This window comes from Homo sapiens, chromosome 6, assembly GCF_000001405.40.
Source record: "Homo sapiens chromosome 6, GRCh38.p14 Primary Assembly".
NCBI lineage: Eukaryota > Metazoa > Chordata > Mammalia > Primates > Hominidae > Homo > Homo sapiens.
Window position 1 is genome coordinate 145,382,589 of NC_000006.12, and position 25,113 is coordinate 145,407,701.

Below are 25,113 nucleotides of genomic sequence, written 5' to 3' on the forward strand. Positions count from 1 at the left end.
CTGCTTCAGAAATAGAGTTACATGCATTTATCTTTATAAATGATAAATGAGAAGCTATAACTGAGAAAATCTCTCTTGGCTATCTCAAACAAAGCATGGCAAGTAAATGATATTGAAAATAAGTTATTTCTCTTAAAATGTTTGAATTGCTTTTTAAATGAAAAGTAAGATTTAGTGTAATTAATGCAACAATGCAAACATATATAAGTAATAATTCGTACATTCCTTATCCCTGAAGGTAACCAAGGCTAGCCTGGTGGCTTAGGTTGAATTCTTCCAGAAGCAAACCCTGAAACAATGTTTCAGAAGCAAATGATTTATTAAAGATTTACTCCCAGGAGCAAGCAGAGGGAATGGAGGAGAAAGGACAGAAATGGGGAAGGAGTCAGGCAAGCATGTAATTTCAAGTCCCTCAGAAAGCTCTGTAGTATATGTAATGCTTTGGGAACGTCTCTGCTTAGACGCTAGGGCTTTGTACTCAGTCCACTACAAAAGCCACAGCTCCCAGGTATTTCCAACTATCTTAAGAATGAGTTAGCTCCAGTATCCAAAGTAATCTTCCAGTGTCACAGGTGGATCTCAGCACAAAGCATGCTGGAGCTGGGATGGGTGCACAGAGCTACCAAAGGATCCGGGGCATCTAGGTGAGGAGCAAAATTGTCTGATACACCTGGGATATATCCTTCCATGCATTTCCACCCTTCTCTTTCATGTGTTGTATTTGTTCATTCTTGCCCCCCTATAAAGAAATATCTGAGACTGGGTAATTTATAAAGGAAAAAGTTTTAATTGTTTCACAGTTCCACAGACTACAGGAAGCATGGCCGCAGCTACTCAGCTTCCAGGGGGGCCTCAGGAAACTTTTGATCATGGTGGAAGCAAAGGGGAAGCAGATACATCTTACATGACCAGAGACAGAGGATGGGGAGGTGCCACACACTTTTAAACAACCAGATCTTGTGAGAACTCTATCACGAGAACAGCACCAAAGGGATGGTGCTAAAATATTTATGAAGGATCCACCCCAATGATTCAATCACTTCCCAGCAGGCCCTACCTCCAACGCTGGGGATTCCAATTCAACATGAGATTTGAGCAGAGACACAGATCCAGACAATATCATATGTCTTGTGACTACTTACGTATTGAGTCTATCATTTAAATAAAAACATAAGACACAAGATTTCAACTTTTGTCTAGTCAAAATATCTATTCTAGAACATAGAAACATATGAATACATTTCCTCTACTTACAGATTTCTGAAAATGCTTTTCAGCTACTATTGATAGCATCCACATATCTTTTTCTCCTTTAACATATAGATCTGTTAAATCATGTTGATAGATTCTTAATGTTGTCATTAAATAATGACAAGGTTACATTTTATTAATGCTGTCCATTCCTTGTAGTCATGACAGAAATTGAGGTTGCTGTTCATAATATCCATAGCATTGGTCCTTTCTGTATGTTTGTCTTTGTCCATTTTCTTCCTCCTCTTAGTATCTGGCCTGAAAAAAAAAAGTGAGAGGGGAGAGTCTTGAGATTATTTTACTTTGTATTTGTATGAGATCTTAGGTAAGTAGTCAAAAATGACTCCTAGCTATCAAGTTAATAAGGGAAAATTGCAAGTCCCTAGTTTTTCTTCTTTCAGTTAAACGTAGCTTACAAAAACGTAAACGATAACAACAAGGGACTATTAACAATATCAACAAAGGGACTGACTTTGCTTTAACAAGATGGCTGTTGTAAGTTGGATTTCTGGGAAAGCAGCCTCTGAGACACAGGGTTATTTTTTAGTGATAATCATGGGATCAACACCTGTGGGGGCATGGAAGGAAGAAGGATTGGCAAAGGGAAAATGTGGTCTAAGATTCGGTGTCAATAAAGGCATAAGCTAACTTCACAGTAGGCTCTAAACTGGATCAGCCTGCAGAGTTGTGGTCAGTTGGGGCAAGGAGGTTGGACTTTATAACCCCTCATTGATCTGGCATTGGCTGCAGGCTACCTCAGGGCAGGTGGGGAAAGCAACTCTCTTTAGGGGAGAGTAGTTCCTGGGGAGTGCTGCCAGCTGACACTAGTGGCACTCCCAGCAGCTGGGAGTAAGTCCTTCAGTCCTGAAACATGCATCCTGAAATATGCATCTGGATCCTGAATATGCATGTGGATATGCATCCAAGTACAGATCATCACTAACAGAGGTCAAAAAAGCAGTTCTATTTACCACTTTCTCTGTATTTCATAGAAGAAAGAGCATCATATTGGAAAGTCTAGAGTAAACTTTTTGAGGAAAATGTTTAAGAGATAAGTGAAGAGATAAGACAACGACTAGGCATCTATGAGGTCTCCATAAGAACATAAATCTTATCTGGAGAAATTGAGAATACAAAGAAAAAAATACTAAACTACTGTCAATAATCTTCTAAATATCAAGGAAATGTAAATAGCATCGCATGAATAAAGGTTTTTCAGATGTTTAGAATAAATAAAAGTACATTCAGAATTATACAAAATGATAAGAATTTTTCTCTTAAAGAACTTTAGAATGGACTAAAAATCACTTATACCCATTTAAAAAATAACGTGGAGACCTATGGGAGCTGGTGTACATCTTTGAGAACAAATAATGCCCTTTTTAAGGGAATTACAAAGGATGAAGAGATCCTTGCCTTCAATAGTTTTCTGTCTAATAAGATGATCTGCTTTTTGACTGAATAAACTAAAGCCACATATTTGGTTTGGAATTTTGTAATTTAGTTCTTCCTTAAATATAAAGCTCATCTCAACAATGGCTGGGTTGTTGAAAAAAATAAAAAATAAAAAAAGGTCATTTGTAAATGACCAAAGCTTTAGAGTATTCTGATGATATAAATTAAACTCCCAGTTTTTTACTGAGTTTTTGTTTCATAGATTCAAACAAAGTTACCAAATCTGGTTGTGATTGATTTGTTTTTATGTTACATAGCAAATACTGCCAAAGTCACAGAGGAATGCTTTTTATTTATCTGGGCATTTTTATATTTTTAAACTTTTTTTCCAGGCAAAAATTGGACATAATTTAAAAATACCAAGGTGACGGTGTTTCTGTACACAGACTTTCCAGTCTTAAAAAACCTTCATCGTATTTAAGACAATGAGTAGCTTGAATTTTCCCATTTCACACTCTTTACAAATGACCATTTATTTAATTACCCATTGCTTTCTATCTATAAATCTGTCTCCTTCTTTTTTCTACTTTTTTTTTGTTCCATGTCATGCAATGTTTGTTATCTATCAATTTTTCTTATTCAGTACTTTTTTGTATTCTCCTTCCAGTCCCCTTTTAGCCTGAAATCAAGAATTTAAAATTCCTTGTGTAGTTCAGACTCATGTAAACAAAACTATACTCCAGGGAGATTTCATTCAGATCTCAAATGCATTCCAGTTTCTACTATCTTACCAGGTACTGAAGTAATGAACAAAATTGCTAAAGAGCTGTACTTTAGTACTAAATTCAATAGAATATTCTTTAAAATAATAAAAAAAAGATTTTAGGGAAAGGTGTAATCAATAGTAAACTATATTCAGATACTACTTAGCATAAAATCCAAGGTAGTTGTAATTATTTTAATAGAAGCATAGTGCCTAGCTCAGCGTTTTGCTCAGATTGGACACTGGAAAGATATGTTAAACAAATAAGTCACTTCATTACAGTGGTGCCTGCTATACTACGTATGGACACTATTGATTTTTAGTCTGTGCTATTTTGTGAGAAAAACTATATTTAAAACGAGGGAAAAAAAGCTTTTGTATATCACCCGAGAGTTATCGAAATCATGTGAATTATCAAAGCTTTCCTACATGTAGGAAACTTAGGAATCATTTTAAATAGTTCCAAGAGCTTTGAAATTAAGAGTTTCAATCATATAATAGAGCCGTCACTAGATATTCCATTGGGAGTTTGACCTGTTAAAGCTATCTTTATATAAAAAGAAAAATTCAAAACTTTTTTTTAAAGTTCTTCACACTTAATAACTGTGTTTACAACACTAAATAAGTCTTAAACACAGCCACTTGTTTGTGCTAAATATTTGTCCTGAACAAGGAGGAAAATAAAAGGCCATATTCTGATGTGTGATATCAGTTTTCAGGCAGGTAGTTGCAGTTTAAGTAGGTTTAGAGAGAGATGAAAAAATGAAAATTAGAAACCAGGGATATGAGCCAGACATGGTGCAGATAATCTTAAACCAAATTTTGTCATCTCTCATAATCAGTGGGATTTTTCGTTCCTTTTCTTAGACTCTTTTGGGTGCCAGTAACAGAAATCTACTTAAAGTAGTCTGTTTTGTTTAAAAAGACTTTTTCAGAGTATTGACATACTTTAGGGGATCTAGGGGCAGATAATGTCTTTGAGCCTCACAGAGGACTAGAAGTGGCAATGGAAAAGTCATCAGATACCCACTTGTTTTGGGGCAAAATTTCTTGGCCAAACCCAAGGGAAATATTTCTTCTTAAACTAGATCTCCAATGAAGTAACTGTTTCCTTTTATAAAGTAGAAAATTTGTGATTGGGAACTATGAGAAACAGACAATTGTCCCTAAAGTTTTTCAACAGAGATAGCTTTGTTCTGTTTGCAGGATTATATTATATAGTAAATGATATTCTCAAGAAAACGCCTACACACTGAGACAAAGACCTTCCCTCCAACACCTTCTACATCTCAAACATTAATGATGAGGGTTCTGCATGCTAGGAATCACATCAAGCTTCTTCAGACATCCTCAACAGGGATTAAAGAGGCAGCCCACACATAGGGACCTAAAGCCACTTTTCTTCAGACTGTCCTGCCTCCACCAACATAGATCAAGGGGGAGTTCCAGATGCCATCTCTTCTTGTCTCCTGACACTCACTGTGTGTCTGTCTTCCTTGACAATCCCATGATCTGTTTATTCTAGTTTTGTCAGGCACCAGAGGGAGAACCCGATGTCTTGGTTCTTTGTCCTTGTCTCCTTTCTATCTATTCCCACTGTCTGGGGGCTGTCATCCAGCCAGGGATTACCACACCTGGTTCAAATAGAGGAAGACCTAAGAAAGACATTTGCTTTCATAGTAACAGCAGGGAAAAAAAGAAAAAATCAAAATTACAATTTTTATTAAGCTTTGAAAAAAATATGGACCCAAAATAAGTTTAAGAAAATAAATTCCAGAGGAGGATGAAATCACCGTAGATGAGATAAGAGTCACAAAAGTTGTGTTCCTGGAACCAAGTGCCAAGTTATGGTACAAGCAGGCAGAGGAGCAGGGGAGACTGTGATAGATGCGGGAAGGGTGGTTTTCTGTCAGGTTGAAGAGGTTGGACTGGAAATAAACAGAAGGGAAGCTATCAGGGGTGACAGAAATGTTGTTTGTATTCATTTGGGTGTTAACCACACAGGCATATATGTTTGTCCCACCTTATCCAACCGTGATCATAAGATCTGTGCATTTCACAATTAAACATACATTTTTTAAAAATGAAGTAAATAATATAGAGGGGAATAGCCTGAAACAAAGATGGCAGGAGGTTCATGGTTATTGAAGCTTGGTGGTGAATGCTTACAGATTTGATATACTGTTCTCTTTATTTCTCTTCTCTGTCTAAACCCTTCAAAGATTCTCCACTTCACTACTAGTAAAAGCTAAGTTCTCAAAACAACCTGTGAAGATCCACAGAGTTCTTTTAGAACGGCCCTCTCCTGTGATCTTTCTTGACCTCATCCCTTATTAATCTCTGCCCTCTTCACTCTACTATAACCATATACTACAGCCACTGCTAGCTGTTTCTTGAAGTTACCAGGCATGTGCACTAGTTACATCTTTGCATTGGTTGTTCTATCTCCATGTTGCCCCCTAACCCCAGATAAAACCCAGACCAATTTCTTTTTTTTTATTGTGAGATTGATGCATTTTAAAAAATTATTATTATACTTTAAGTTCTGGGATACATGTGCAGAACGTGCATGTTTGTTACACAGGTATACATGTGCCATGGTGGTTTGCTCCACCCATCAACCCATCATCTACATTAGGTATTTCTCCTAATGCTGTCCCTCCCCTTGCCCCTCAGCCCCTGACAGGCCCCAGTGTATGATGTTCCCTCCCTCTGCCCATATGTTCTCATTGTTCAACTCCCACTTATGAGTGAGAACATGCAGTGTTTGGTTTTCTGTTCCTGCGTTAGTTTGCTGAGAATGATGGTTTCCAGCTTCATCCATGTCCCTGCAAAGGACATGAATTCATCCTTTTTTATGGTCGCATGGTATTCCATGGTGTAGATGTGCCACATTTTCTTTATCCAGTCTGTCATTGATGGGCTTTTGGGTTGGTTCCAAGTCTTTGCTATTGTAAACAGTGCTGCAATAAACATATGTGTGCATGTGTCTTTATAGTAGAATGATTTAAAATCCTTTATATACTCAGTAATGAGATTGCTGGGTCAAATGGTATTTCTAGTTCTAGATCCTTGAGGAATCGCCACACTAATTTCTTACAAAATATTAGTTTCTCAATTGGGCCTACCTTCACATCTACATTTAAAAATGCAACCCCCTCTTCTCCTCCCTTTGACTTTTTTTCAAAGCATTCATCATCTTTTTTTCTTTTTTTTTTTTTAAGATGGATTCTTACTCTGTCACGAGTGCAGTGGCACATCGGCTCACTGCAATCTCCGTCTCCTGGGTTCAAGCAATTCTCCTGCCTCAGCCACCTAAGTAGTTGGGATTACAGGCACCCACCACCATGCTTGGCTAATTTTTTTATATTTTTAGTAGAGACGGGGTTTCACCATGTTGGCCAGGCTGGTCTTGAATTCCTGACATCGGGTGATCTGCCTGCTTTGGCCTCCCAAAGTGCTGGAATTACAAATGTGAGTCACCTCGCCTGGCCCATTCATCACCTTTTAACATACAAACACTTTCCATATTAATGTTAACTCTCTTTTGCCTCGTGAATGTAAGCTCCAAGGGGACAGTCTGGGAGAAATGTTTTATTTATTTTCATACTGCAAGTGCCTAGAAACAATGCCTAGCACATAATTGGTGTTCCATAAATATTTGGTGAATAAAGGAACAAATTATTTCTCAACCTTATTCTGTGAAGTTTCCTTGCTTGATAAGCAGTGAAGGTCTCCTACCTCCATTTTTCAGAGTACACGAAGAGTAATTTCTCCATCCTTGAGGTGTAGTCACAACCTGGACCCTCCTCCCCAAGAAGCCATTATTGTCAATGATGACGGCCAATTTACAATTTTTCTTTATCAACTGGGCACTGAAAGAACTTGTAGGAATATTAGAAAATATCAAACATGCAAATATTCTCATGATGGAACAAAATATAATTAAAAATGGTTAATTCTTGTGTTTTCTTATTTTGTGTATAGTCAGGGATTTCCTGATAGACAGAACCAACAGGAGTGAAACAGAAACAGACAGAGAGAGACACAGAGAGCAAGAAGGAGAGATAGATTTATCTTAAGAAACTGGCTCACGCTATTGTGGAAGCTTGGTAAGTGCAAAATCTGTAGACAGAACAACTGATTGGACACCTAAGGAAGAACTGCAGTTGCAGTTCGCTGGCTGAATTCCTTCTTTCTTTGGGGAGGGCAGTCTTTGTTCTATTAAGACCTTCAACTGACTGGATGAGGCCCAGCCACACAATGGAGACTAATCTGCTTTACTCAAAATTCACCAATTTAAATTTTAATCTCATCTTAAATTTAAATTAAAAAAAAAAAACACCTTCACAGAAACATCCGGAATAATGTTCGAACAAGTATCTGGGCACCTGGCCCAGCCAAGTGATGTAAGGTACCCTTCATGGCATAAACTTTCCAATTCCTAGGCTGTTTATTTTCTGCCAAACTTGTCTGGTGATAGTTCTGCAGGAAAATTTCTTTTCTTGGGTAAACAAAAGGTTCATTCTCTTCCCATCATTATTTATCCATGTTGTGCATGCACATTCTCTCTCTCTCTCTCTCTCTCTTTCTTTCTCTCGCTCCCGCTCATACTTCTGCACAGACTCATTCTCTATTTGTGTTTTGCTCTCTTATTCTCTGGCTTTTACTCTATTGCTCTCTTGGCTTTGCTCATATTTTTACATCATAGTTGATGTAAAAGATGTACATATGCATTTTTACATCATATTTTTTCTCCCTGAGGCCAGTTTCTCTGCTTGCTTGTCAATATACAAGGTTTATTATGACTGACCAGCCTCAAACTTAAATGTTCTCACTAGTCCAACACCTGCAGCAAACTTTTCACCTTCTTTCCATCTCAATATGCAATTCCTAGGAAAGAGATTCGTTCAACCTGGTCAAGTTGCCCAATTGAACTTGGTCAAATTGTTTGTCTTTGCCCAGAGGAGTTGGTGATGTGTGGCTTATACTTGCTGGTTGGGGGTTTGGAAACAGCCTGAGATGGAAATGAGGCAGTTTGAGAAATCAAAGTAAAATCCTAAGTCCCCCAGTGGACTGAACAGATCCTCTTTCAGCAAAGGGGACCCCAGAGAAACCTTAAAAACTGAGTGCCCAGCCACGATGACACAGGAAGTTGGACATACCTGTTATACCACTTTCTTGCTAACCACCATTAAGCTTTCTTTCCTAAGGGTTAAACAGAAATTAGCTTTTTTTGAAAGACATGTTCCATTGCTGATTTCAACCATCAGCCTGACACTGCCCCTCCCTTTTTGCAGTTTCAATACAGCAGCTGACAGACATTCCTTCCTGATAAGAGACCACCGACCATGGAATAATTGGTGCCAGTTTACAGAGGCTGTGCACTGAGTGCCTTTGTGTCCTCTACTTCACCTTTTAATGTATAGGGCCTAATTGCAATACACTTCAATGTTAAATCTTCACCCCAAAGTGAACATGAGACATGTAATGTACATGCTAGCTTAGACACATGTGCCTGCCCCCCCTTTGTAAATAAATATTCATGCTCCTCCTGTAATCTGTTAAATATGGGTACTCAGCCAACCCATTCAGCATAAATTATTGTCTCATCTTTTCCTCCCTCGAAGTGCCTGCTTTTCAGTGTCAGCTGGAAGTTCCCATACCCCCGCTTGAGAAATAAAGTTCTCCTTTCCAAATTTACAGATTTTGTGACAGATCCCTAGATTCCCCGTGATTGAAGATAATGCATGCATGAGCCCATTGACAGCTCAGTTGTCTTGCCAGCTGCACTGGGGAAGAGTAAGTCCCAAGATCTCCCACTTTTAGGCTGAAGATCTTGGAGACTTTATTTCTTCCTACCTCTCCCTTCCATCTGGACCTTGGAAGAGATATTTCTCTTGGCCCTGGGTCTTAGGTGGGGGGCAGGTGGTGGGGGGCATTTCAGCTTAACTCAGTGGGGTCCTCAAAGGGACACCTTTGGTAAATGCTGTTATGGGGAACCTGGGTTCTAAGGGAATAGCCTCTGGTCAGCCACCATCAGAAACCCTGGTGGCTTACATGTTTAAGAACCAGGGAAACATTCTTTTGAATATTTGAGATCCTGACTAAAGCTAACCAGGAGGATTTAAAGCTTTGTTGGTCACAATGGGGGAACTTTTGACATGCTTAAATTAGTTTGTTTATTGGCACAATTAGAACGGAGAGGGTTTGGACCTCTCAATAGCAGTGTGAGACCTTTTGTAATTAATTGGTATTATGAGAACTCTAAACATGTTCTGGAGTCTCCGATGGCCTCCTCAAAGGAGACAAATTCAAGGCTGAAGGAGTCTAATTTGAAACTTGACCAGTATATTTAAAAACTTGAGAGCTACCTTGAGTTAGATTCCAACCTTGAGACAGAGGAAGATGCTGTGTCTCCCCATTCTCCTTCTACTGCTCCTTTAATGCCAGCAACAGTGTATCCTTCTCTGCCATCTTTCACCCTTTCTGAGCTTCCTTTCTTCCCTTCCCCTTCTTCCCTAGAGTCAACCCCTCCTTTCCACACCCCTCCAACCCTTCTCCTTGCCCCCTTACAAGTTGCTCAAATTACAGGGGGCCACCAGGCAGTAGAGTCATTCTCCTCCCTCTGGTCTAAAACTGATCTTGTGACTATTATCAAGGACTTCCCTAACCCTAAAACAGACTCAGTTGAATTTGAACACCATTTTGGCTTCATTATAAATATATATCAACCAGGCCTTCTCAGTGGTTGTCAATTGCTCCAGATGTTAGCGGGACTATTTTAGCCAGGGAATAGATCAACCATGAGGGTTTGGCACATCCTAAAACTGATCTTGTACTTATGTGGGAAGCAGCCTTTAGGAGGGCTCAGGAGGTAATCACAGAATTAATTAAGGCCATCCTAGTAATTTTTCCATGTCAAATAGATTGGAAGGCTATTCAATGATATATCCAAAAAAGGGATGAGCCAGTCTTTGATTTTTTTTCAATCAATTAAAAAAACTTTCAGACAGAATTCAGGCATCAAAGATTTAAATGATGATAATGCCAAGCTTTCCAACTCATTTTTTCTTTCAGGTCTCAATGAGACCTTTAGTACTCTGGTCAAGCAGATTAACCAGTACTCCCGTTAAGCCATGATTCTGGCTGGACTCTAAAAGGCCTCATGAATTGGCTTTCGTGTTCAACTACCTCTCAAAAACAACAGAAAAGGAAAGATACTCGAGTAGCTAAGACACTCATTACCAGGAATAAACTGCAAAACTCATGGCCCTACACATTAAGCAGAATCAGGGGCTTTCCACTAAACAACAAGCCCCATCTAAGGAGCAAAAGACACAGCAGAGCCTGACATAAAAAAATCACAGATTGTTATTTTTACAGGGAAGTCTGTCACTTTAAACAGAATTGTGAGAAATAGAAAATGTGGCTCAAAAAAAAAAATCCTGATCATCATAAAGAAAACTAATTCTTTTCCCAAAGTAGACTGACGCCAGAACAGTTTTTTTCCCCATTATAAGAATAGGGGTACTACGACGAAGGGAAGAGAATTTTTCTTTTCCTTGTGGTAAATTCAGCTGCGAGAATTTGATCTTCAAATTAATAATCAAACGGTCTGAACTCAAATAGATACTGGGGCCACTCTCTTAGTGCTTAACCCCAACTCTTTATATGTCCACCACCCCAAAGCTGCCAGGGTTTTTGGTGGGGGCTGACCAGTGACTGTTCCTTAGAATCTAGGTTCCCCATAAGAGCATTTTATGCTACGGTTGTAACCAAACCATAAAAATGGTCAGGGTCACTAATCAACCTATGACTATTTTTTTTTCTTTTTTTTTTTTGAGACAGAGTCTCATTCTGTTGTCCAGGCTGGAGTGCAGTGGCGTGGTCTTGGCTCACTGCAACCTCTGCCTCCCCAGTTCAAGTGATTCTCCTGCCTCAGCCTCCCAAGCAGCTGGGACTACAGGTGTGTGCCACCATACCTGGCTAATTTTTTGTATCTTTAGTAGAGTCAGGGTTTCATCCTGTTAGCCAGGATGCTCTCGATCTCCTGACCTTGTGAACTGCCTGCCTCACCCTCCCAAAGTGCTGGGATTACAGGCATGAGCCATCATGCCCGGCCCAACTTATGACTATTTTTAAGGCAAAGCCAGGGCATCCTCATTCTTGTTTCCTCTGCTCCTCTCCGTATGATGGAGAGAGAGAGTTCCTTGAAAGGCATCAAGTTCATATTTCTTTTTCTCATGAGGGAGGGACCATTCCAGAGGTCTATCCTTTGGACATCTTGACCACTGACCTTACTCATGTCTTTCCCATGTCAGTCATTAGCTTCTCAGTTGCCACTGAGCACCAGGCTTTTAAAAAACTGCCTGATACACTCTGGGCCAATCTAACACTGATATCTGTCTGATTCACTCAGCACTGCCAATTACCATACAGATAGAGCCCAACAAACCTCTACCCAATATAAGACAATATCCCCTCAATCCTGAAGCTTTGGCCAGAATAGAGTCCAACCTTAATGATTTCCTCTCCAAGGGCCTCATAATCCCCTGCATTATCCCTTGTAACACACCCGTATTACCTGTCTGGAAACCAAACTGAAAGTGATGGAAGTTTGTTCAGGACTTTAAAGATATTACTAATATTGTTATGCCTTGACACCCTGTTGTGCCAGACCCACACACATGACTGTCTGGCATACCTTCTAACACTCAGTGTCTCTCAGCTATGGGTCTCTGTCGTGCCTTTTTCAGCACCCTGTCAATCCAGAAAGTCAATTTTTCTTTGCCTTCATGTGAAAGGGCCAATCGTTCACTAATATAGTCATTCTCTGGGAATATACAGAAAACTCCACTTACTTTTCTCAAATCTTATGAGTCGACTTATAGGATATAAGCTTCCCCAACAATCCTACCCTATTATAATACATTTATGCTCTCCCTCACAAGATGCTTGACTTACTGACACTCTTCACTTGCTCCACCAGCTGGCCCTTGAGGGACACAAGGTCTCTAAAGACAAGCTACAGTTTTGTCAGAATTCTATTAAGTTTCACAGACATCTATTAACCCCTTCAGGGCTAAACAACAACCCTTCTCACCTTTAAGGCATTTTTTCCTCCCCTCTCTCCACTATCAAGCAGCAGCTTGGAGGGCTTCTGGGACTTACTACAGAGCTTGCGTTTCCAACCTGTCTTTAATGGCACAACCTCTATATGCTTTACTTAAAGTTTTCTCCTCTGACCCCCTATTTGAACCTCACAAGGTAGAGAGGTTTCAAGGACCTAAAAGGTCAGTTGGCCTCACCCCCTACTCTGGGACACCCAAATTATGATCTCCCCTTTTCCCTTTTTGTCCCAAAACAAGAAGAAAATGCCTTGGGAATCCTAATTCAGCCCTATGGGGGTAACAATCAGCCCATTAAGATTAGAGTCAACAATTCAATTCTGTAGCTCTACCCTATCTTAGGACAGTCATGGCCATTTTCACCCTCATTAAAGCTTTAAATCTACTGAAAAAACAACGAGAGCCCCTCTCACTATACATGTTCCTTATTCAGTTGAGGCCCTTCTCACCCTGCACCACACTCAGCATCTTTCAACTAGTCCACTGACCTGCTATAAGACACTTTTCTCCTCCTCTCCTAACCTAGCCATAGCTCACTGTAACCTCCTTAACCCCGGCACCTTCTTTCCTTTACCAGAAGAGGTATCCTCCATGACTATACTGCTTTTATAGACATCCTTCTCTCACCACACACAGACTAAAGGAAACTCCCTTACTCAATCTGAATTTTATCTGGTACGCTGATGAGTCTTTTATCAGAGATTCTGCTGTGTCCTACTGGGCAGGCTACATGGTGGTTTCTCTGATACAAACCATTAAATCAAGCCCTCGGCCAGGTGCCTAATCTGCCCAACAGGTAGAACTGCATGCCCTCACTCAAGCCTGTCCACTAGCCACATATAAAGGGGGTAATATTTATACACACAGCAGACATGCCTTCAGAGTTGCCTGTGATTTCAGCAAGATCTAGAGCCAAAAAGGATTTCACACCTTTTCTGAAGAGCCTGTTAAGAACGAAGACTTTGTTCTGGTCCTCTTGGATACCATTCAGGCTCCTCAAGCAATAGTCATTATCAAAGTCCAGAGACATTTCTCTGACAAGACATAGGACAGCAAAGACAATTACCTAAGAAGTGTGGCAGCTCCAGCTCCTGCAGGGTGACTCCTTCCCCAGTTATGGCTGCTCAACCCACTACCCCTCCTTCTTCCCGGGCTCCTTCCTCTCCCTCATTCCCTTTCCCATCTGAAGATCTCTTCTCCAGACTCTCACTATTTCTAAAAACAGTTTCAGAGGCTGAAAGGAGGAATTAGATAAAACAAAATTGTTCTTTAAACCCCCAGACAAAATTATAGGAAAGTCCAAGTAGACATCCAATTGTACCCAGCACTCTTTAGAGACCGACTTTAACCTTCATACAGAATCTGACCTATTGCAATCCAGACAAATGATTCAATGGAGCAGACAATACTGTTGGAGACTTTCTCAGGTACATAAACTTTGCAATGTCTGCCTTCAGGTACATAAACTTTGCAATGTCTGCCCTCAGATACCTGGAGTGCTTCTCAGGTCCATAAACTTTGCAATGTCTGCCCTCAGTAAACCCCTAAACTCTCCTCCAAGTTAACTTTCACTTCCCTTCACTGTAATGGCAAGTTGATTTCATTCTGTTATTGCCACCCCATGGATGTAAATATGTTCTTGTAGTGGTGACGTTTATTCTCATTGAGTTGAGGCTTTCCTTTACAAACAAGTCACAGCTATGGTGGTGGCCAAATACTACTTGAGAAAACCATTTCTACCTGGGATTCCCTTTGAACATCACAGATAGGGGAGCTCATTTTACCAGTCAAGTACTGAAACAGGTGTTTAAAACCTGGCCAATCCCACAGCACTTTCACTGTGCCTATCATTCCAGTCCTCTGGGCTAGTTGAGCAGACTGATGAAATCATTAAAAACCATCTGGCAAAAATCACAAAAACATTTCATGTGTCCTGCCTAAAGCTCTTCTGCTGGTATTACTGATTTTGCAGTTCACTCCCGTGAGAAAACATTGACTTTCTCCTTTTGAAATTGTTACTGGCTCGGTTTGGTAGCTCAGGCCTGTAATCTCAGCACTTTGGGAGGTCAAGACAGGAGGATAGCTTGAGGATAGGCGTTCACTACCAGCCTGGGATAAATAGCGAGAACACGTCTCTACTAAAAGTGAAAAAAATTTAAAAAGTTAGCCAGGCATGGTGGCACATGCCTGTAGTCTCGGTTACTTGGGAGGTAGAGGCAGGAGAACTGCTTGAGCCCAGGAGTTTGAGGCTGCAGTGAGGTATGATGACGCCATTGCACTCCAGCTTGGGCAACAGAGCAAGAGCCTTAAAAAATAAAAAAGGGGCAACAGAAAAGAAAGGAAATTGTTATTGGTTGGTCTACGCCTTTAGAACAAGAAATGTTATCTCCTACCCAATTACAGGGGGAACTCCCAGCTTATTGCCAGAAGCTCTTCAAAGCTGTAGGCATCAACCACCACAAGGTGGGAAAATCTTTTTACAGCTTCCAGTGAGGCCATAATCTCCAGTCTCACCAACTCCAACCTGGTGGTTACATATACTGGAAAATACATCAGTTAAAAGACTCCATTTAGCCCCATTGAAAAGGCTCTTATCAAGTATTATTGACCAACCTGTGTGCTGTTAAGTTACAAAGAATTTACTATTAGGTACACATATCTCATCTGAAAAAGGCAGCAATCACTGCTGAGTCATGGACATTAATGTCTGTATCTGACACCAAACCCAAGTTGATCAAACCCTAGTACTTAGGCCCAAGGAAAGACAACCACAGTGAACTTCATAACACTCTGAACCAGGCCTGTACTGAGATGAATTTTTATACTCTCCTTGTATTGGTTATCACATTTAGTGTTTTAGGAATTTTCACAGTTATCATTTTCTTACATAAAGTATTGAGATACCCACCCCCACCTTGCTAAATGCACATCTATTTTCTAATTGTTTTAATTGTTATATCTGTAGAAATTTTATGTATTTTAGACATTTTGCACCATGTTGAGATAGGCCTGTGCATGCCAACAACTAGACACCTATAGATAATTAAAATACTTATGAGCTCCCTCTTCTGCAACAGTCAGAATCTGACAGGATTTATGGACTTTCTTTTAAGGGCATGGTTATTTGTTTTCTTTATTAGTAAGGTGCTCTGTTATCTCAAAGACAATCCCAAAAGCTTGCCTGATAGCTCTCCAGAGTTTGTATGAAACTTGTGATTTCTTCTTTGGTTTGAATTTTTAAATAGAATGTTTGTCTCTTTTTTTTTCTTTTATGGACTTAACAGCCTTTTCTCATCTCTTTGTAATTGTCCCTTTATGTCAAGGTATAAAATGACATGATAATTATTTAGTTAAATTGTCTCAAAGTGTTGCCGCTGGAGACAATTTAACAAATTATTAGATTTGTCAAGAGCTTCCTAAATCCATTAACAATAAACATTTGCCATTAATAATACCTGTCATCTCCCAAAGTGCTGGGACTACAGGCGTGAGCCACTGAGGCGGGCAGATCACTTGAAGTCAGGAGTTCAAGACCCGCCTCACCAACATGGCGAAACCCCATCTCTACCAAAAACACAAACATTAGCTGGCTGAGGTGGTATGTGCTTGTAGTCCCAGCTACTTGGGAGGCTGAGGCGGGAGAATCACTTTAACCCAGAAGGGAGAGGTTGCAGTGAGCTGAGATTGTGCCACTGCATTCCAGCCTGGGTGACAGAGTGAGACTCTGTCTCAAAAAAAAAAAAAAAACCATCAGAGACTTTCTCCAATGTTCCTGACATCACCACTTATCTGGACTAATTTCTTTTCTTGTCAACTTTCTGAGTCCAATTGCTTGCACACCCAAATATTACCACCCCCTTTTTAATCTATCCCATGTTATTAATGTTAGAAAATCACTGTATACCACAAGACTTCCTTGATCAATGAACTACTGGGTAGACAGATAACACATTCTAGATCAAATAAAGAAAATTTAAAATTTGTCCCTATTATGCCAACAATACTTACGTTTACAATGTCATGTAAATGGATTTTAAAAAGTTTGCGAGAGAGGTGACTCATGGTTTAATTTAGTCTCATTGGCACTTCCCATTATTTAGTTCATCAATAAACATAACTTTGGGACTATCACTTGCTCTCCCCTAGGTTATGTGTTTATATGTGACATAAGAGCTGATCCACTCATACTGGGGTGGGCACACCACTGCCTCAACAGCCTACACAAGAAGATTCTTGTTTGATGGGACATGTTGTAATCAAATAAAGAAAGTTTATTTTTCCATCATCTCCAACTATAAAAGTTTTCCTGCTTTCAACAGACTAAAAAGAGAATTACTGGGAGTTTCTCAAGAGACTTAGTGGCAGAAACTCTGTGTGTAGTAGTTCCTGGTTATGGGATTTATGCGAACAGAAAAAAAATCTATCAGCCACTTCAGGTCAAATTGCTGAAAAGAGTGCAAAAAGTATTGTGGAATAACAAAAGTCTCTAAATTATTTGACAATTTAGAGACTTCTTCTGGCCCAAGTGGTTTTAGACAATTGGGCTACATTAGATTTTCTCTTAGCCAAACAAGAAGGATTCTGTACAATGGCTCATACCTCCCTTTGTATTTATGTCAACCCTTCAGGTGAGGTAGAAACTCATATAGAAAATATTTCCAAATAAACCAAATGGTTACAAAAATTACGAACTACAGACGCCCTCAATAATCTTTTTGGCTATCTCCTGACTAGATTAGGAATCTGGCTTCAATCCATTTTACAAATCCTGCTATTATTATCCTTGCTATTTTGTTCCTTTTTTTCTGATAATCAAAATGTTTATGTTCTGTATAACTATTACAAATTTGTAACTGAAACCAAGATTTTTGTGGTTTTGATTTTTATGCTGCTTAAAAGGTTTTAAGGGTTGATGAGTGCCTGCCCACTCCCATTCCCATCTGGCCTAAAACATTTAATTGGTTGTAATTCTTTTGGCTCTAAGTCCCTTGGCCACAGGGGTCCCACAGATGGATTGGGTAATCCCAGGGAAAGTAGCCAGATCACCCAGACAATGATATGAGATGAAATGAAAGTTTGGGCATTGATGCTGACTGAGAAATCTTGGCCAAAGGCATAAATGAGAAATAAAAACACAATCCTAAGACACCCAACCAACTGAATTAATCCCCTCTTGTCCAAGGGGAACTTAGATAAACCTTAAAAACTGATGACACAGAAGGTCAGACAGAAAGTCACGTCTCATTATACTCCCTCCCTCACTAAAGCCCATTACCTCTTTCTTAAGAGTTAAACAGAAACCAGCCCATTCAAAAGATTTGTTCTACTGATGATTTCCATCAATTGCCTAATATTGACCCCCGCCCTTTTTTGTGGTTTCGGCACAACAGCTGGCCTTCCTTCTTGATAAGAGACCACTGACTATGGAGTGGTTCTGATCAGTTAACAGAGGTTGCTTACTGAGTGCCTTTGTGTCCTCTGCTTCAACCTTTGACATATAGGGACTAACTGTATTAATTTCAATGTTAAGTCTCCACCCCAAAGTGAACATGGAACATAGGCAACATCCATTTTTGCTTACTATGCATGTACATGACTTTCTATGTAAATATTCATAGCTCCTCCTATAACCTGTTAAATATATGTACTTAGCCAAACTGTTCACCATAAATTCTTGTCTCTTCTTTCCCTCCTTCAAAGCGCTTAATTTTTGGTTTCATCCGGGGCTCTGCTTCCCGCCTACAGGTTGTTACACCCCCATCTTTAGAAAGAAAGCCCTCCTTTCTAAACTTACAGATTTTGTGACTTTTTGGTTGACAAGCTTATCCATAAAACAATGTTCCTGCAGAATGAAAAAAATATTAGATTAAGAAATGTTTAATAAAGTACCTTTGACTTTACTAAAGGGTTTAATAATTGAATAAAGTTCTTAATACAATATTGTAATAATACATCAGCAAATTAATAGAACAAATATATTTCCATTATCATTATGTTTTATTTGTCTTTTTCACTACAATCAAGCCTATGAAAACGGGTAGGGGGAAAAAAACACCTAAAGCCCAATATGACAAAAAAAATTAATGTAATCAATTAAGGAGAAAATAAAAATATTTGTCATTTATGCAGCATTTGTCATATGCATATTTGTACCCATCTTTTTATATATCATATACACAAGTACTCTATTTTCACCTTAGCAAGATCTGTGATCTCTCTGTTAAGGTCTGGTGCCTAGAATGGCAAAGAGTGTTCCTTGAGTATGAATGTACATTAAGGATGGATAGTAATTCTTATTTTATTTCCAATTACTCTTCTTGTTGATGCTCAGAATGTATTTGAATTTTGGTTCAACCATGTGTCAGACACAATGTTAATTAAGCATGATCCTATTGCATTCTACCCCAAAGTCCCCCAAAACTGTGAACTAATATGAGGCTTAATGAAATTTAAGATGGGACTGACATTACACAGTGAGGAATGAGGTAAAATTAACCCCAAACCTCTGGATTTCATGGGCTGAATCTCCATCATTAGACTTGATTGCATCCCAAGTATTTCATTAATGGACATTGCTTTATCATGCCTAAGGGCTATCAATTTACATCTGAACATCTTTTTGTGACAGAAGGTAAGGCAGGGCTTAAAGAATGATCATGGCAAGTCAAAAGGATATGGGAGCCGCCTCAAGTGGCTAAATCTGGGATATTTTGAGCTCCAAATTAAATAATAAGCCATTGAGTAAAATAATAATTAGTGAGTCAATGCTAATATAAATAAATGAATAATAAAAGAGAGAGAAGGAAACACTCTTCCTAGATTAGAAAGCCATCTCGTACATAATTAGAAAAGCATGATTTGACAATCATCAGAAAAATAATGGGTTTAAGAAAGAATTATTAAATAGATATTAAAACTAGTGGGTGAGTGTGGGGAATAACGGCATATTTGCAAAATCTGAAATTACCTCTCCCAAAATACTTCTTAATTGCAAAGAGCTAGGTAGTAACTTGTAAATGGAAGAAAGCTGGCCAACATAATCTTATCCAAGTCATCAAAGTGAATGATGCTCTAGTGAGACAAATGGACATCATATGCCTGATAGATGAGCTGAGGACATAGCATGACTTCTGTGGAATTTCTGCCAGAAACATGTAAGTTGAATCTAATTATGAAGACACTTCAGCAGAACTCAAATGAAGGGAATTTCCACAAAATAACTGACTAGTACCCTTCAAAGGTGTGAAATGTCCTGAAAAAGAGAGAAATCTTCCAGATTAAAGGAGATAAAGACGCATGACATTACTGTGCAGTGTCTGAGATGGCACCTACTTATACTACACAGATTAAGATTGGACAATTGACAAAATTTGCATAGGTTAGTAGCTTAGATAGTGATGTAGTACCAATATTAATTTCCTGATTTTGGTAATTATAGTCTGATTAAGTGAGAAGATATTCTTGTTTTTAGGAAACTCCCTAATGTATCTAAAGGGTGAAGGAAAATCATGTTTTCAGTTTATTTTTAATTGGTTCAGAAAAATAATTTGGTGTAGACAGAGAAAGAGCAAAAGAGCACAGGCAAACGGATTAACATTTGGTCTACCTGGGTGAATTCTTTGTATTATTCTTGAAACTCCTCTGTAAGTTTGAACTTAGGTCAAAATATTAAAATGAAATGAAAAAGTTACATTTCTTAAAGAGTTAAATCTACTTTATATCTCTACATATGTCTGAGTTACTTTCTATGTAATAGCCTAGAAGTGAGACGTCTATTCTAAGGATATGTGCATTTGCAATTTTAATGCTAAATTACTCTCTTGAGCTGTCACTTCAAGTTACATTTCCAGTAGTGTAGAGAATTCTCAAACTTCTGTAACTTTCCTCAAACCTGATACTATTACACTTCAATGTTTGCCACCCTGGTAATTAAGAAATTGTATTTTGTTATTTTTAAAATATTTTAAAACTTTGTGGGTACATAGTAGGTATATATATTCACGGGGTACAGGAGATGTTTTGATATAGACGTGTAATGTGAAATGATCAAATAATCACATCATGGAGAATGGGGTATCCATCACCTCAAACATTTATCCTTTGAGTTACAAACAATCCAATTACTCTTTAAGTTATTTTTAAATGTACAATTAACTTAGTATTGACTATAGTCAACCTATTGTGCTATCAAATAGTAGGTCTTATTCATTCTTTCTAACTATTTTTTGTACCCACTATCCATCCTCCCACACCCCCTCCCCCCAACCACCACCCCCTGATGCCCCTGCTCTACACTACCCTTCCAAGCCTCTGGTAACCACCCTCTTACTCTCTATGTCCATGAGTTCAATTGTTTTGATTTTTAGATCCCACAAATAAATGAATCATGTGATGTCTTTCTGTCCTGGCTTATTTCACTTAACATAATGATCTTTAGTTCCGTCCATGTTGTTGTAAATGATTAGATCTCATTCTTTTTATGACTGAATGGTACTTCACTGTGTATGAGTACCACATTTTCTTTATCTGTTCATCTGTTGATGGGCATTTAGTGTGCTTCCAAATCTTAGCTATTATAAACAGTGTTGCAACAAACAGGAGTGCAGCTAGCTCTTTAATATAATGATTTCCTTTCTTTTGTATATATACCCAGCAGTGGGATTGCTGGATCATGTGGTAGCTCAATTTTTAGTTTTTTGAGGAACCTCCAAACTATATTCCCTAGTGGTTGTACTAATTTACATTCTCACCAACAGTGTACGAGGGTTCCCTTTTCTCCACATCCTTGTCAGCATTCATTATTGCCTGTCTTTTGGATATAAAACATCTTAACTGGGGTGAGACGATAGTGCATTCTAGTTTTGATTTGCATTTCTCTGATGACCAGTGATGCTGAGCACCTTTTCATATGCCTGTTTGCCATTTGTATGTCTTCTTGTGAGAAGTGCCTATTCAAATCTTTTGCCCATTTTTTTTATCAGATTATTAAACCTTTTCCTATAGAACTGCTTGAGCTCCTTATATATCCTGGTTATGAATCCCTTGTCAGATGGGTAGTTTGCAAATATTTTCTCCCATTCTGTGGATTGTCTCTTTGTTATTTTCATTTACACTTCTCTGATGACTTTTACATTTGAACATATTTTCATATGTTTTTAAACACCCAAGTTTTTTATCCCATGGATTGTCTGTTCATACCCTTTGTCCATTTTAAATGTTTTTATTTTTATATTTTTCTTATTGATATACAGGTCTTTATATACTCGTATTTATTTTGTATGTAAATTGTTTTTTTAAATGTGTATATGCGTTTGTCTAAAGCTTTTTTTACCTTTTGAGGGTCAGAATAAGGGCATATACCCTGAAAAATTCAAATTGAAGCTCGCCCTTCATTCAATCATGTGCTGAACTGATGCTTGCAGGAATCCTGAAGTATTGTCCTGATTACTTTGCACTTCGTTTCAATGGTAGCCCTCTTCAGTAAATTTCTTTTAAATTAACACCAAAGCTTCCTATTTTCTGATTCTTCATTATATGGTAAAATAGGCTCAACAACATTGTCAATCCTGAAAATCCAAAAGAGTAATTGAAGTCTAATTATATCCTTTGCCTTCTGGAAGACATGCAGTCACAATTTGCTTTGGGATTTTGTTTTAAAGTATAGGTCCTTTCTCCTCACACCTTCTTGAAAGATTGCTGCAGGAAGCTGGTTTAAATATAGTGGCTTGAATATTGCAGATTTAAAGGAATATAAATAACCTGGAAGTGTGATTTTGAAATATAAGCAAATTGATCTTTTTCTTTCCTAAAAGATGTAAATACAATTTATAAAACTTTGTGTCCACAAACTGCATGATGATTTTCACAGGAAAGTAATGAACATCTTGAACACTGTACTTCCAAATTAAATATGACATTAATGGGCACCATTTAATGCAGCTCAGCTCTGCACTGATGGCCATTTTAATTGGATTGCTGCTGTTGTGAATAGAAAAGTTGCTGACAATGTTAGAAAAACTAAGCTTACACAAAAGTACCACCTAAGAAGATGTTGGACTTGAATTTGCACGTTTAATCAATCAAGTTAGCTCATCTTATACCTCTTCCAGAAATGCAATTTTTATATACAAGTTGTTAGACAAACACACAGTGGCTCATTGTGAATTCTACGGCCTATGTTCTGATGACAACTAGTCTTCTTCCTGAACTGAATGTCTGCGTGTCTGCTGTGGCTGCCGGTTACGTCATATAATTACCAGACAGTCCTTTCATCCTAAGGCAAGACTTTCTCTTGGGGACTATAAGTACATGAATGACACCCTAGAGTTAAATATAAAATTTAAAAAGGATGAAATTCATGCCAGAAGCAGAAATGGCAGAGGTAATGTTCCCTGATAAAGCACTGTACCATGTAGACTGTTCTTTCTAAATAAGTTTTAAACTCTCCTTTTCTAAATTTTAAAAAATAAAGCAGCAGAAATATGCAAAATCATTTTTTAATTCCAAAAAGCAAGAATCAGGATTATTACTTTATTTAGGTTGCCTCTGAAATAAGTTGTTGAATTTGATGTCAACTTATAAACTTGGGCTATAACCACATTGGAGAACAACTAGAGTAAAGAAACTTCAGGTAAGAAATAGTCATTCTGGAAACTGTTGAATAGCTGTTTTCCAGGACATCACCATTGTTGGTAAATATCTTATTTTATTATAAGCTGTGCAAGTGTTTATACCCACTTTACAACTTTCTCTCAATCTTATTATTCCATCAAAATTGTTTGAACTTGACCATTCCTGAACATTAATTGCTTATGAAAATCTCTTAGAAGAACTATTTAATCATGGAGATACCTACACACACACACACACACACACACACACACACAACAGACAGACACACACACACACAGTATATTATTTAAACTCTGTCTTTATCTTTTTTACACCATGCAAATATACAAATAATTTGTTTAGGTTATTACCGCAGGCTCTGAAATAATATTCAATACTCAATAGTTAAAGGCTGCTGCCACCAAAGTCTGCTGCTTTTTGTATAACCAAAGTATTTCTTTTTAATCTGATTAGTTTTGAAATGAACTAAAATCACTCATTTTCATCTTCCACAACAGGAAGGTGGCCATGGCAAAGTGATCATGTAAGTTCCTAAAGTATCTAACAATATACAAGAAGCTTCAAATAACATTTTTCTTTTTACATACAAAAAATTAACATAATGCTAGATCTATAGTTCAGATGGCAGTGCTTCAGAATAATGGCACTGTTATTGAAACTGCATCATCCATTGTAATTTAATTTCCACTCTTAAGGCGGTAACAATTACGTGTGAAAGTGGTAGTAAGAATGATGTCTGATAAGGCACTCTGGTGGATGTATATACATACATTATAGTTGCTTTTCATCTGACTACAATTTCTTCCTCTAATGGTAGCTACCAAGTTGTCAGATAAACTGCAATAGCCCAGGCAGGTGGTGTGAACACAGTGTAAACAAAGACACTTGGTCAGAGACTGGATTTTCAGGAAAACCAAATGTCTTAAAAGTATGAATATAGCAATTATTTTTGACTGGTGTTACCTTCAGGCTAGAAAACTTCCCAGAGATAGGCGAAAGCAATGGTTCTCAAAGTATTGACCCCACCAACAACATCAACATCACCTGGGAAGTCATTAGAAATGCAAATCCTTAGGTCACATTTCAGACTTAGTGAATTAGAAACTCTGGGAGTAGACATGTTTTAATAAGCCCTTCAGGCTATTCTGCTGCTGCTCAAATTTGAGAACCACTTATCTAGAAGAAGCAAACATTTGCCAAAGGAAATAGTGGAGATTAGGCTGTAAGTTCTGTGGGGAAGGAGTTAGGGAAGTGGTGGGAAATGCAGGATCGTGCCTCGTGGTAATGCAAAGTGCACAGATGCTGACCGTGCGATCCCCAGCTAACCCAGGGTCTTATTTCACTAATCCCTGTCTTTGGCAGTAAAGTTTTCCAAATTTGAAAAAGAAAAGCCACTGTGATTGGTACAGATGATAAGGAACATTTGAGATCTCTTTCTGATGAAACCATGTCCATATATATGGCCATGATATATGTTGGGACAAAAGACATACACTAAGTATTTAAAACACTGGCTGTAATTTGAGCAATCTTAGGCATTTACACTAAATTTGGCATAGTACCTGTATTTGTCATAATATGAGCTCTGGACCTACAACTAAGAGACTCCTGTCAGGGCCTACTTAATTCTAGAAGAGCCTCTAAAATTAGCCATACAATTTAATAATATTTCAAAGGGTTATCTTGTCTCATTGACATAATGAGAGCAAATCAAAAAAAGGCTACAGCATAAATGTATATTTAGTGCAAGTTCTGCACACCTATGCAAAATGTAAGAAAATTACCAGCTTTCCTATAATTGTGAGGAGTTTTCACAATTTAAAATTCTAGATGTACTTCATGAACTAAACTAAAATGCCATTTAGCAGCTTTTTCAAAGTTATGAGTCTAAAAGTTATTTCCCTTTATAGCTTTAAATAAATTTTATGGTTCAAATAGAAA

At 38.3% G+C, this 25,113-nt stretch overlaps 1 protein-coding gene across 1 annotated transcript in view; it reads right to left on the bottom strand.

Moving 5' to 3' along the window:
• Positions 765–25,113, bottom strand: part of EPM2A (EPM2A glucan phosphatase, laforin) — a 352,671-nt gene continuing 328,322 nt past the window's right edge. Inside the window, exon 5 of the mRNA XM_024446550.2 lies at positions 765–1,509. Coding sequence (XP_024302318.1) covers positions 1,436–1,509 — 74 coding nt within the window. The 3' untranslated portion in view covers positions 765–1,435. The remainder of the gene's footprint in view (positions 1,510–25,113) is intronic.